We start from the raw sequence: 14,427 nt of genomic DNA, 5'->3' as shown, positions 1-14,427 counted from the left end.
CACTACTGACTTTTGTATGTTGGTTTTGTATCCTGCAACTTTACTGAACTCACTTATCAGTTCCAAAAGTTTTTTGGTGGAGTCTTTAAGGATTTTATGTGTATAAGATCATGTCATCAGCAAACAGAGACAATTTCACCTCTTCCTTTCCTAGTTGGATGTGTTTATTTCTTCTTTTTCCCTGATTGCTCTGGCTAGGAATTCTGATCCTATGTTTAATAGAAGTGGCAAGAGTAGGCATCCTTGTCTTGTTCCTGATCTTAGAGGAAAAGCTTTCAACTTTTCACCACTGAGAATGACGTTAGCTGTGGGCTTGTCATATACGGCCTTTATTGTGTTCAGGAACATTCCTTTTATACCTAATTGTTGAGAGGTTTTTTATTTTCAATCATGAAAGGATGCAAATTTTGTCAAATGCTTTCTCTGCCTTCTAGCATAATGTTTTGAGGTTCATGTGCTTTGTATCAGTACCTCATTTCTCTTCATGGCTGAATACTATTCCATTGCGTGGCTAGACCACATTTGTTTATCCATTGATATGTTGATGGACATTTGGGTTGTTTCCTCCTTCTGGCTGTTCTAAACAGTGCTGCTTTGAATGTTCTTGTACAAGCAATCATTAGAATACCTCATTCAATTCTTTGTTTGTTTGTTTGTTTTGTTTTTTTGAGATGGAGTCTTGTTCTGTCACCCAGGTTGGAGTGCAGTGGTGTGATCTCGGCTCATTGCAACATCCACCTCCTGGGTTCAAGCGATTCTCCTGCCTCAGCCTCCCGAGTAGCTGGGACTACTGGTGTGCACTATCACGTCCGGCTAATTTTTGTATTTTTAGTAGAGATGTGGTTTCACCACGTTGGCCAGGCTGGTCTTGAACTCCTGACCTCAGATGATCTGCCCACCTCAGCCTCCCACAGTGCTGGGATTACAGGTGTGAACCACCACGTCTGGCCTCAATTCTTTTGGATATATATTTAGAAGTGCAGTTGCTGAGTCATATGGTAATTCTGTGTGTAACTTTCTGAGGAACCATCAAAACATTTTCTATAGCAGGTGTAATTTTATGTTCCCACCAGCAATTCAGTTCCCATTTTCCCCATATCTTCACTATTTCCCCCCTTGTTTTGTATTATAGCCATGCCAGTGGCTGTAAAGTGGTATCTCATTATGGTTCTGATTTGCATTTCCCTAATAATTGATGATGCTGAACATATTTTCATGTAAACAGGTTTACTTCTGGACTCTGAATTTTAGTCCATTGATCTATATATCTATTCTCATGCAAGTACCACACTGTCTTGGTTACTGTTGCTTTGTAGTAAGAAAATGTGAGTTCTTCAACTCTGTTCTTTTTTCCCTCCAGGATAGTTTTGGCTATTTGGAGTCCCTTCCATTTCCATAGGAACTTAGGACTTGCATTTCTTTTTAAAAATGCCCTTGGAATTTTGACAGGATTGTACTGAATTGTAGATTGTTTTGGGTGGTATTGCCATCCTAACAATATAAAGTCTTCAAATGCATGAACACAGATGTTGTCCCATTTATTTAGGTAGTCATTCACTTCTTTCAAAAATGTTTTGTAGTTTTCAGTGTGTAAGCCTTGCACTATTTTGGTTAAATTTGCTCCCAAGTATTTTATTCTTTTTAATGCTATTATAATAACTATAATTGTTTTCTTCATTTCATTTTCAAATTATTAAATGCTAATATGGTCTGGATGTTTTTTTCCCTTCAACTCTCATGCTGGAATGTGATCCCCAATGCTGGAAGTGGGACCTGGAGGAGGTGTTTGGGTCTTAGGGAGGATCCCTCATGAATGGCTTGCTGCTGTCCTCGTGGTAATGAGTGAGTTCTCACTCTGAGTTCATGCCAGATCTGGTTGTTTAAAAGAACTTGGCACCACTTCCCTCTCTCTTTTGCTCCCTGTCTTGCCATGTGATACACTGTCTCCCCCTTCACCTTCCATCATGACTGGAAATTTCCTGAGGCCCTCACCAGAAGCAGATGTCAGTACATGTACTTCATGTACAGCCTGCAGAACCATGAGCCAAATCTCTTTTCTTTATAAACTACCCAGTCTCAGGTGTTCTTCTAAAGCAATGCAAACAGATTAATACAACTGATAATGTAGACAATGGATTATTGTGTGTTGGTTTCATATTCTGCAACTTTGCTGATTTCATTTATTAGCTCTAATAGTTATTTTGTGGATTCTTTAGGACCACATCACCTGAGAATGGAGATAGTTTCACTTCTTCCTTTCCAGTGTGGATGTCTTTTATATCTTTTTCTTGCCTGATTGCTCTGGCTAGAACTTCCAAAACCATGCTGAATATAAGTGGTGAAAGCAGGCATCCTTGTCTTATTCCAGATCTCAGGGATAAGAATTCAGGTTTCAGTAATTCATTACTGAGTGTAATGTTATCTGTGGGTTTTTCATAAACATCCTTTGTCAGATTGGAGACATTCCCTTCTATTGACAGTTTGTTTTTTTTTTTTTTTAGTGTTTTTACCATAAGAATGTATTTGATTTTGTCAAATGCTTTTTCTGCACCAATTGAGATGATAGTGTTTTTTCCCCTTTGTTCTTTTTTTTTTTTTTTTTTTTTTGATACGGAGTCTTGCTCTATTGCCCAGGCTGTAGTGCAGTGGCACAATCTTGGCTCACTGCAACCTCTACCTCCTGGGTTCATGAGATTCTCCTGCCTCAGCCTTGTGAGTGGCTAAGATTACAGGTGTGTGCTACCATGCTTGGCTAATTTTTTTATATTTTTACCAGAGACAGGGTTTCATCATGTTGGTCAGGCTGGTCTCAAACTCCTGATCTCAAATGATCTGCCTGCCTTGGCCTTCCAAATTGCTGAGATTATAGGCGTGACCCACTGCACCCAGCCTCCCCTTTGTTCTATTAAAATGGTGTATTACATTGATTCATTTTTATATGTTGAACTACCCTTACATTCCTGGGGTAAATCTCACTCAGCTGGGTGTTTAGTCCTTTAATATGCTGCTGGATTTGGCTTGCTAATAATCTGCTGGCTATTTTTGCTTCTAAATTTAAAAGGGGTGTTGGTCTGTAAGTTTTCTTTTCTTGCAGTGTCTTTGTCTAGCTTTGGTATTAGGGTAATGCTGATCTCATTGAATAGTTCCAACCTCTTCTATGTTTTGGAAGAGTTCAAGAGAATTGGTGTTAATTCTTTAAATATTTGATAGAATTCACTAACGAAGCCATCCGGTCTTGGGCTTTTCTTTGTGTGAGGTTTTTGATTATTGATTCAAGGTCTTTACTTGTTATAGCTCTGTTGAGATTTTCTATTTCTTCTTGTGTCAGTTTTTAGTTTGTTCATTTTTTTTTTTTTTTTTTTTTGAGATGGCGTCTTGCTCTGTGGCCCAGGCTGGAGTGCAATGGCATGATCTCGGCTCACTGAAACCTCTGCCTCCCAGGTTCAAGCAATTCTCCTGCCTCAGCCTCCTGAGTAGCTGGGATTACAGATATGTGCCACCATGACGGGCTAATTTTTGTATTTTTGGTAGAGAAGGGGTTTCACCATGTTGGTCAGGTTGGTCTCGAACTCCTGACCTCGTGATCGGCCCACCTTGGCCTCCCAAAGTGCTGGGATTACAGGCGTGAGCCACTGCACCCAGCCTAGTTTGTTCATTTCTAATAATTTGACCATTTCATCTAGGTTATGTAATTGGTTGGCAAATAATTATTCATGGCATTTTCTCATAATCCTTTTTTATTTCCATAAGGTCGATAGTAATGTCCCCACTTGTATTTCTAACTTTAGTAATTTGAGTCTTTTTTCTTAGGCAGTCTAGCTAAAGGTTTATCAATTTGGTTGATCTTTCCAAAGAACTAACTTTTGGTTTTATTGATTTTCTCTATTTTCTTATTCTCTATTTCATTTATCTTTGTTCTAATCCTTATTATTTTCTTCTGCTGGCATTAGGCTTACTTTGGTTTTCTTTTTCTAGTTCCTCAAGTTATAAAATTAGGTTACTGATTTGAGTTCTTTTTATGTAGGCACTTATAGCTTTAAATTCTGCTTTCTTTGGATCTCATAAATGTTGGTATGTTGTATCTTAGTTTTCATTCATCTATTAGCATTTCTAATATCCCTTTTTTATTTCTTTTTTGACCCACTGGTTGCTTAAGAATGTGTTATTTAACTTCCACAAATTTGTGAATTTTTCCAATCTTCCTTCTGTTACTGATTTCCAGCTTCATTCTGTTGTGGTTGGAGAATATAATAATTTTAATCTGTTAAAATGTATTGACACTTGTTTTGTGGCCTAACATATGGCCTATCCTGGAGAATGTTCCGTGTGCACTTGAGAAGAATGTGCATTCTACTGTTGAACAGAGAATTTCATCCACGACTGTTGGGTCCACTTGGCTTATAGTGCTATTGAAGTCATCTATTTCCTTATTGATTTTCTGTCTGGTTGTTCTAGTCATTATTGAAAGTAAAATACAGAAGTCTGCATTATTGTTTTAGAACTATTTCTTCTTTCAATTCTGCTTTTATTAATATATTTTGGGGTTCTTTTGTTAAGTGAGTATATGGTTATAATTGTTATATCTTTCGTAAAGGATTTTGAAGGATCATTTTGACTGAATAAAATTTCACCTTGGTCAGTGATGCTGTGGCTTTGCCTGCAGCTAAATAATGCAGTGCCAGTGTTCCTCTCTTTACCTCCACAAGGGCATTTCAGATATCTTGGAATGAGTTTGCTTTTTAAAAATAAATGTTATGAAGATTTTTTTTTTTTTTTTTGAGACGGAGTTTTGCTCTTGTCGCCCAGGCTGGAGTGCAATGGCATGGTCTGGGCTCACTGCAACCTCTACCTCCCAGGTTCAAGCAAATCTCCTACCTCAGCCTCCCGGGTAGCTGGGACTACAGCCGCCCACCACCATGCCCAGCTAGTTTTTTGTATTTTTAGTAGAGACAGGGTTTCACCATGTTGGCCAGACTGGTCTCGAACTCCTGACCTCGGGCGATCCACCTGCCTCGGCCTCCCAAAGTGCTGGGATTACAGGCATAAGCCACAGAGTTTTGCTCTTGTCTCCCAGGCTGGACTAAAGTGGCACAATCGGCCGGGCGCGGTGGCTCACACCTGTAATCCCAGCACTTTGGGAGGCCGAGGCGGGTGGATCATGAGGTCAGGAGATCGAGACCATCCTGGCTAACAAGGTGAAACCCCGTCTCTACTAAAAATACAAAAAATTAGCCGGGCGCGGTGGCGGGCGCCTGTAGTCCCAGCTACTCGGGAGGCTGAGGCAGGAGAATGGCGTGAACCCGGGAAGTGGAGCTTGCAGTGAGCCGAGATTGCGCCACTGCAGTCCGCAGTCCGGCCTGGGCGACAGAGCGAGACTCCGTCTCAAAAAAAAAAAAAAAAAAAAAAAAAAAAAGTGGCACAATCTCAGCTAAATACAACCTCTGCCTCCTGAGTTCAAGAGATTCTCCTGCCTCAGCCTCCTGAGTAGCTGGGATTACAGGCACTTGCCATCATGCCTGGCTAATTTTTTGTATTTTTAGCAGAGATTGGGTTTCACCATGTTGGCCAGGCTAGTCTCGAACTCCTGACCTCAGGTGATCTGCCTGCCTTGTCCTCCCAGAGTGCTGGGATTACAAGCATGAGCCACTGCACCCGGCCCATGTTATAATGATTCTAATCTTCATAACAGATGACTTCTAACAATATTCATAGATAATAGATAGATAATGGTCTTTTCTTCCTTTCTTTACATGTGGAAGAAGAAAATTGATATACCAAGCTCTAGGATATGATAGTTAATGGGATTGAACTTGTATACTTCCCTGAAGACAAGGTAGAAGGTGAAATAAAATGGTTTACATCATTTGAATATTTTAAAAAAATTAATTTTAATTATTATGAGTACATAATAGTTGTGTATATTTATGGAGTACATGTGATATTTTGATACAGGCATACAATGTGTAATGATCAAATCAGGGTAAATGGAGTATCCATCACCTCAAGCATTTATCATTTTTTTGTGTTAGAAATATTCCAATTCCACTCTTTTAGTTATCTTAGAATATAAAATAAATTAGTGTTAACTATAGTCACCCTATTGTGCTACCAAATACTAGATCTTATTCATCCTATCTAACTGTATTTTTGTACCCATTAATCATCCCCACTTTATCCACCCACTTCTTGCCACCCTTCACAGCCTCTGGTATCCATCATTCTACTATCTCCAAGAGTTAAATTTTATTTTTTTTAAGCTCCCACACATGTGTGAGAATATACAATATTTGTCTTTCTGTGTCTGGGATATTTTACTTAACATAATGTCCTCTAGTTCCATCCATGTTGTTGCAAATGACAGGATTTCCTTATTTTTATGGCTAGGTACTATTCCATTGTGTATATAGACCACATTTTTTTTTTATCCATTCACTTGTTGGATGCTTAGGTTAATCCCCTATCTCGGCTATTGTGAGTAGTGCTGCAATAAACATGAGTGTGTAGGTATCCCTTCGATATACTGATTTCCTTTCTTTTGGATATATACCCAGCAGTGGGACTGGTGGGTCATATGGCAGCTTTATTTTTAGCTTGCTGAGGAAACTCCAGACTGTTCTCTACAGTGGCTATACTAATTTTCACTCCCACCAACAGTATGTGAGGGTTCCCCTTTCTCCACATCCTCGCCAGCATTTGTTACTGCCTGTCTTTTGGATAAAAGCCATTGTCACTGGGGTGAGATGATGTTTCACTGCAGTTTTGAGTTTTATTTCTCTGACGATTAGTGATGTTAAGCATTTTTCATATACCTGTTGGCCATTTGTACCTCATTTCAATATTTGAGAAAATAAATTATGATTATTCTTTAGTGCAGGCTATTCATTTTATTTTATTTTCCTAATACCAGACTCTTTGGTGAAATTCCTGTATATCTGATTGTGTGGCTGTCGTTTCCACAGCAGCCCTTCTCCACTGTCACCTCCACTGCTGCTCGTGGTGGTCAGCACTCACTGGGCCACTCTTCTGTGCCATCGCACACTTCCCCTCTGCTACTCCCCCACAGCTCTCTGAGGTGGGACGGCTGGCCACGGTTCTGCAGGAATGGGAGGGTCTGGCAGAGGCCACATTGCATAGTCCAGCTGAGCTAGGCAGACACCACTCTATGCATCACCACTTCCTGTGGCCTTTCCCATTTGACAAACGAAATGCTGCAAATAGAAAAATCCTCCAGTGGAGATTTTTTTCTTCCGGAGGTTTCATTTTCTGGAAATCTACAAGACCCACAAGAATGGCTGGAGGGCCTTTAGTGTGTCTTGGGCAAAGGTCCGTGGCCACTTCTGGTCTGCTGCCTGGGCCTGCTGTCCACACTGAGTTCATAAATGGGTCCACAGCAAATATCCGTACACAGGTAGAAGTTTGAGGGTATCTCAGTGAGTTGTATGAAACGTGGTGGATGCCTTGGGCTTGACAGTTTCCATGGCTTCCCTTTTAAGCTTTAAGACTAAAACCCCCTGGCTTTGTGCACAATGTTAACTGAAGAGCTCAGATCTGGGGTTAAGAAAGACGGAGGCACAGAGTTTTGATGGGATCACTTGGAAACGAAGGGCCCTTTACTGTAGGGGCAGTAGGAAGCTGCGGATGACATTCTGCAAGGAAGGAAGGTGTCTGAGGAGCTGAGCATTCAGTGAGCCCCAGCCTTACAACTCGGGTTCAGGTTTCCAGTTAGGTTGGCCTCCTGCAGCCCTGGGTTAAGTGTAGGGCTCTGTTTGGCCTGCAGCATCTTTAGTGGATTCCATTGCCACATGCACGCCTTCAGCAGCCTCTGACTTGGGCATTCAGCCACCCAGCCCTCCACTTCCCTCAGCTGCATTTACTTGCTGGATCCTAAGCCACTGCTGTTTGGTTTTAACTTTAAACCTCTGTTTCCCAATCTAAGCCTGCTTCAGATTAGGAAATGATTTACAGTTCCCAGCTGGACCCTGGGAGTGAAACTGAAAAGTGGGGGCACTGAGGAGAAGGTCCCAGGACACGCACTTCGGCCCTGTATGGTTCAGTAACCATGTTCCCAGCTTTGGGGTGAGACACCCCGGAGTGTGAAGCTTGCTGTGTTACCATGGAGCTGATTTAAAATCTCTAAGCTGGTCGGGCGCGATGGCTCACGCCTGTAATCCCAGCATTTTGGGAGGCCGAGGCGGGCGGATCACCTGAGGTCAGGAGTTCAAGACCAGCCTGGCCAATATGGTGCCCTGTCTCTCCAAAAATACAAAAATTAGCTGGGTGTGGTGGCGGGTGCCTGTAATCCCAGCTACTCGGGAGGCTGAGGCAGGAGAATCGCTTGAACCTGAGAGGCAGAGGTTGGAGTGAGCTGAGATCACGCCATTGCACTCCAGCCTGCACAACAGAGGGGGACTCCATCTCAAAAAAAAAACAAAAACAGAAACAAAAAACTCCAAAAACCCCTCTAAACTTCAGTTTCTTCACTGGGAAAGTCAAGATGATAACAGTGGCTTCTCCACTCTCCTTAAATCACAGCAAGAGCTGTGATTAAGTGGGGCACGCACTGGGAACAGGGTGCGCGCTCCCTAGCAGTGCCGTCCAATAAGGCGCGTGGGGGCTCCCAGGAGGAAGTGACAATGGAGATGTGGGAGTTGCCTATGTAGACGGTAACACGAGGTAGAAGCTAACCCAGGCCCCGGCACTTGGCTGAGTGAAGCAGGGTAGAGCCAGGCTGGAGATTCAACCACTCACTGAACACAGCTCTTAACGTTCCACAGTTCTGCTAGAGATTCTCATATTGAAAGAAATATTTTAACTTAAAGTTTCACAAATACCTCACTATTTATACCTTGGGGTCAAATTTCTTGCTGAGCGTGCAGCCCTTGGGCTACGCAGCCTAATGTCCAGTTAATTCTGTAGTATTTTGAGAAAGAAGTTCTGGTTATAAAAGGAGTGTGCTTTTGAGGCACACTGGATGGCTTCCCTGTACATCTTTAAAAGAACACACACACACATATGTTCCGCAAATGGCTGGCAAACACAGGCAGAAACTAAAGGAATGCAACGTTCGTTCTTGAGGGCAAGTAGATGCAACTCAGATTCAGTTTTCTGCCAGCACTCTGAGCTGATCAGAAAAATACAGTTCTTTAAAAAAAGGAAAAAGAAATTTGCCCCCTATAAAAAGATTTAAATAAAATCACTTCCCCTGAAATAACACAGTCTGCATTTACATGCTCCGCAGTTTGTTTATATGAGATACTGTTGTTTTAAAAAGTAAAACCATAAAATGGGAATGTAGGGAAAAGTCTAAATGATCAACAGCTATCAGCTGCTTATAATTTGCAAGGAATAATCCACATATCCATTAATCACTCTTACCTCCTTGGAGGCTAAGATTTGGCGTAACTCTTTCCTGAGATCAATAAAACGATCGTGGAACAGGGCCAGGCACCACGGCTCGGTGAAGTAGCTGGTAAGGAAAGAAGAGACTCAGTGAGCTGGCAACCCTCTCATTACCACTAATAAAGTATTTACCTGCTTTTTTGCCTTTATAAATTACAGTTCTGGCCTCATTGCAATCGTTTGCTCATAAAATGTCTTGTGGAACAGCCTGACCAATCAATTTTTTAAATGGATGTTCCTGCTGTAAGGCCAGGTCCCATAATTACATTTAAAGTGGTTTAATTCAGAGCTGGGGCAAGACCCAGTGAAGAATCCTGATTTTATCAGAATTTAAAAGCCTGAAGACTTGTAAAGAACGGTGTCTCCATTATCTGCCCTCGTTTGAGAAAAACAGATTGCAAGATTAACTGCTGCATAAATAAATTAAATTTGGGTAGACAATAACACAAATGTTGTTCATCATTAAGCTTTCTAGATTAATAATGGCCAGAAAAACAGGCTGCCTTTGTGCTGCAACATGCTGTTCGCACGGTTGCATCGACGCTTAATTGAATCTCTTGTAGGAGAGCTGCATTTTTTGGTGTTCATATTTGCTAACTTTTCACTGAAAGTTGAAATGCTTCCTTATATGGAGAACAATAAGATTATCCTTTATTTAACTGGAAAATTTGATGCATTTTTGGAATAACCAAGAACTCTTATTGGTATTTTAACTCTTACTTTAAGTGTCTTGGAACAGGGAACTTAACTGCTTCAGGGTCAAAGCCACGTCGCTCGGGTGGGCTTTGCTCTCCTCTGGATGTGAGCTAGCTGCCCTTATTACTGTTTATGGATGTTGTGTGTGCGCACAGGGGAAGGAAAAACCTGGTGCCCCCACGTGAATGGGCACCTTCCGTTTTCCAAGACGTAAAAGTTAGTTCTTAGGGATGGAGGTAAAGTGTCCCAGGGGCCACGGGGGCACTAGAGGACAGATACGACGCCGAGAGTCTGTGTTAGGGACAGCCTGGCACTCAGCAGTATCAGGCCTCACCCCACGCCCACTCGCTGGATCAGAACATGGCATCAGTTCCTGCTGACTTGCCCGCGTTGCTGTTTAGGTGGTATGTTCATCCAGCTGTTAACACACTGTCTTTCCTCAGCGGCTGAAATCCCCCATGTTTGTTTCCATGGCACCATCGGAGCTCCCACCCCCTTGGTTTTGGGGGTCTACGGCCACCTCCGTCTGGTGGCGGAACCGCCTGCTCGCTGCTTTCCTCATTTCCAGTGCTGCCTGTTCCAACAGCCCAGGTGCTCTCGGGCCATGCTCCCTGCCCGGCGCCTTTAAACTCTGCTCTCTGTGTTGCCCGTCGGGGACCCTTCATCGTCTGCTTCAGAGAGGGAGTTCTGTGAAGTCCCACTTTCCTTGGGAACCCACTGTGGTCTGTCACGAGCTCTGGCCCTCCATCTAAACACCCAGGTTCCCACAGCCTTATCATGCAGAAGAGCGTCACTGCCCTAAAAAGCCCTCTGTGATCTGCCTACTCACCCTCTCTCCTTGCCTCCCTCTGAACCCCTGGCAAATTAACTTTGGAGGAACTTGAATTGTATTAGAGAAAATGGGGGCTGTGTAGCAATTTTTGTAAAACATTGAAAAAAATCCTAGTGTCCAGGTTTTATTTCAGAAATAGAGTGGTGTTCTCCCAACCACACAACAATACACATCACACTTGCCAGCAACTCTAAAGGGAATGGATTTGCGACTTGAGGCTGTGCACTCCAGGTGCCCATGATGGCTGGCCCAGGGCTGGGCCTCGGGGCCCAAGCTCCTGGCAGAGACCTGCATGGTGAGGGCAGGGCTCAGACCCGGCTGCTTTCCCCTATCCAAGGAGAACTTCAGCACCAGCTACAGGCTCCCAGGTGAAGGTGGCCAGGAGGAGTGAGGGTGTCTCGGATCTTGTGGGCTTCCTAAAATCATCCTACAGCAGCAGCATGGCAGCTTTCGTCATTCAAACTGGAAAAGCTCTGAATTTAACCAAACCTATTTTACAATTGATCGTAATGTTGAGTCAAATGAAGATGGTTTCCTTTTGATACAAGAATGTTAGGAAGAAATTCTGCTTTAAGAAAAGTTTTAGGAACCAGGTATGATGTGTCATGCCTACAATCCCAGCACTTTGGGAGGCCAAGGTAGGAGGATCACTTGAGACCAGGAGTTCAAGACCAGCCTGGATAACACAGTGAGACCCCCATCTCTACAAAGAATAAAAAATAAAAAAAAATTAGCCAGGTGTGGTGGTGACATATGCCTGTGGTCCCAGCTACTAGGGAGGCTGAGGTGGGAGGATCGCTTGAGCCCAGGAGTTCGAGGCTGCAGTGAGCTGTGATCACGCCACTGCACTCCAGCCTACTGCACTCCAGCCTAGGTGACAGAGTGAAACCCTGTCTCTAAAAAAATAAAAATAAAAGTTTTAGACCTCCCCCAGGTTGAACGATTTCTATGCTTTAGGCTCCTTCTGTATCCATAGGAAGGAGAGGGGCATCTTGGATCCTGGTGAAGCTTAGGGCCAGGTTTCTGCATTTTTGGCCGCCAGGTACTATGGTGCTATCAGCATTCGTGATGAGCTTTTGGGAAATTTGTATTTCCATGAATATTGTGAATTTTAAAAATAAAAAATATTAACTTTTTCCCCCAATTTATATTCAAAAGGGGAAGACTACTAGGAGCCATGAAGTAACCCACACAGCCTGCCGTCTAGAAATCTTCAGGAGAGAGGGCCAGGTATGCACATGGCTCCAACGTGCTTTTTAAGGGGCTGTGTGCACGTGGGCATCAATGCCACAAAAATCATTTTTGCACAGCTGGGAGAAAAAAGTTATACCTCTTCAAGACTGAAATAGAAGACATTACTGTCTCTGTTCATGCTGCCAATGGCCAGCCTGGTTTATCTGGGAGGACTTAAATTCCCCATCACTTCTGCAAGTAATACACTTTTCCAAGAAGCCCTGGGAGATTTTGACTTGCGGAACTGAATTAACCATTTCTGGTCGATATAGTCCGATCATTAAGCAATTGACTAGACGTCTCCAGAGGTCATCCTTGCCTGCTCATCCAGGCAGTTACATCGACAGACTCATGAACTGAGTGGGGATGTGAAGGCCGGCTTGGCCATTAGACACGCTGAAGGCTGAGGAAAGCTGATCAACATAACACACTGGGAGAAATTGTAGGAAAAAGTCCAACACATCTACGGGGAAAGAGAAGTGGTAAAGGTGTCCTTTAAAGGCCGGGATCTCAAGTCCAAGGCCAAGGCCTTCCTGGCCAGCAGGAAAGGAGTGCTGCGACTGCAGGTCTGCCCTTTCCAGCATTGGCACAGCGTGGCGGTCCGCGCTCAACTATGCACCAGGTGGCAAGGAGGAGGCGGGTGGCAGGGAAGAAACATATCACTTTTTCCAAGATTTTTTTTAACAAAAAGCATTCTAGTTTTCTCTTGGCATGAAAAAAAAGTGTCTACTTTTAGAGCTGTTCACAGGCTCCCCAGCTGACACTCACGCCTACAGAGAGGGCTGCTGGAAAGTCAGGAGGAGCCACTTTTCTCCAGGCAGGCAGCTGCCGCCAGGGAGGCCTGCGGGTTTCCTTAGAGAATGATGCTCTTGCTTGTATGTGTCTTTTCTGGCACGGTGGAGGGCAGACTGTTCTCCTTCTAAGATGCCTGCCCGAACGTCAAGCTCAGCCATGAGTGTCAATCTTGTGATGCCAGAGGATGGAGCATAGCTGGTGGGGCTTTCCTCTCTATGAAGCAGCCTGTGTCCTGTCTCCATTCAATACACAGAAGGCAGGCAGTGATAAATATCATGGTAGCAAACAGATACCCAAGGCCAGGTATGATATATGGACGCATCTACTTTGGCCTGAATGACATTTGGAATTTGGGTTTCAGGCCTTTCTTTGATGAGTCAGATTAGGCAATGCTGTGTCCTCATTTTCGTGTGGCAGCTGTCAGCTCAGTTGCCAGGGATGGCCTCCGTGGTTCGTCCTTGCTTTCCCACCAGTCTGGCCAGAATTGCTCCTCTCCATTGGTCACAGCAGGCATCTGGGTGTGCCAACCCTGGCAAGAGGTCTGGGTGAGAGGCAGGCAGGATTGTAAACACCTTTCCCAAAGCCCCTGTGCTCCATGACCTCTTCCATGGTGGGACGTCTGCTAAGAACACTAGAACCATGTCCTAGCTTTCTTTTTTATTCTATCCATCCATCCATCCATCCACCCACCCACCCATCTATCCATCCATCCATCCATCCACCCACCCACCCATCTATCCATCCATCCATCCACCCACATCTATCCATCCATCCATCCATCCATCCATCCATCCATCCACCCACCCATCTATCCATCCATCCATCCATCCATTTATCCATCCACCCATCTATCCATCCATCCATCCACCCACCCATCTATCCATCCATCCATCCACCCACCCATCTATCCATCTATCCATCCATCCATCCACCCACCCATCTATCCATCCATCCATCCATCCATCCATCCATCCATCCATCCATCCACCCACCCACCCATCTATCCATCCATCCATCCATCCATCCATCCATCCATCCATCCATCCATCTATCCATCCATCCATCCACCCACCCATTCTGTCCATCCATCCATCCATCCATGCATCCATCCTAACAGGTCTAGTGAGGCCTTCCTAAACCCTGTTTCCTTATTTCCAGTGGCTGCTTTCCTCTGGTCCTCTTCCTCTGCTGCATCACACCACCCCTCAACAAACATCCCTTCCTTCCCTATGCTTCCACGTAAACTTTTCTCCCTCTCTTCTCTGTCCCAGGTGTCTTCAGAGCTTCTGACATTAACGGTTGCAAGGAAGGAGAAGACCTAGGGTTCAATTCTTTGCCATGAATCGAATATGGCCCTCACGCCTGTGTCAAACATGTGAAGGGCACTGAGGGTACCATGGTGAGAGAAAGCCCCTGCCCCCAGAAATGCACACATGGTGGGTGGGGGTGGAGAATGTCAGAGCCACTTATGA

At 44.0% G+C, this 14,427-nt stretch overlaps 1 protein-coding gene across 1 annotated transcript in view; it reads right to left on the bottom strand.

Annotated features, from left to right (window-relative positions):
• CFAP61 (cilia and flagella associated protein 61) overlaps nt 1-14,427 on the bottom strand; it is a 308,167-nt gene that overhangs the window by 9,402 nt on the left and 284,338 nt on the right. Inside the window, exon 26 of the mRNA NM_015585.4 lies at nt 9,376-9,466. Within this exon, the coding sequence (NP_056400.3) occupies nt 9,376-9,466 (91 nt within the window). The remainder of the gene's footprint in view (nt 1-9,375; nt 9,467-14,427) is intronic.

Source organism: Homo sapiens, chromosome 20 (assembly GCF_000001405.40).
Source record: "Homo sapiens chromosome 20, GRCh38.p14 Primary Assembly".
NCBI classification, from domain to species: Eukaryota; Metazoa; Chordata; class Mammalia; order Primates; family Hominidae; genus Homo; species Homo sapiens.
This window is presented reverse-complemented; position numbering and strand designations above follow the sequence as displayed.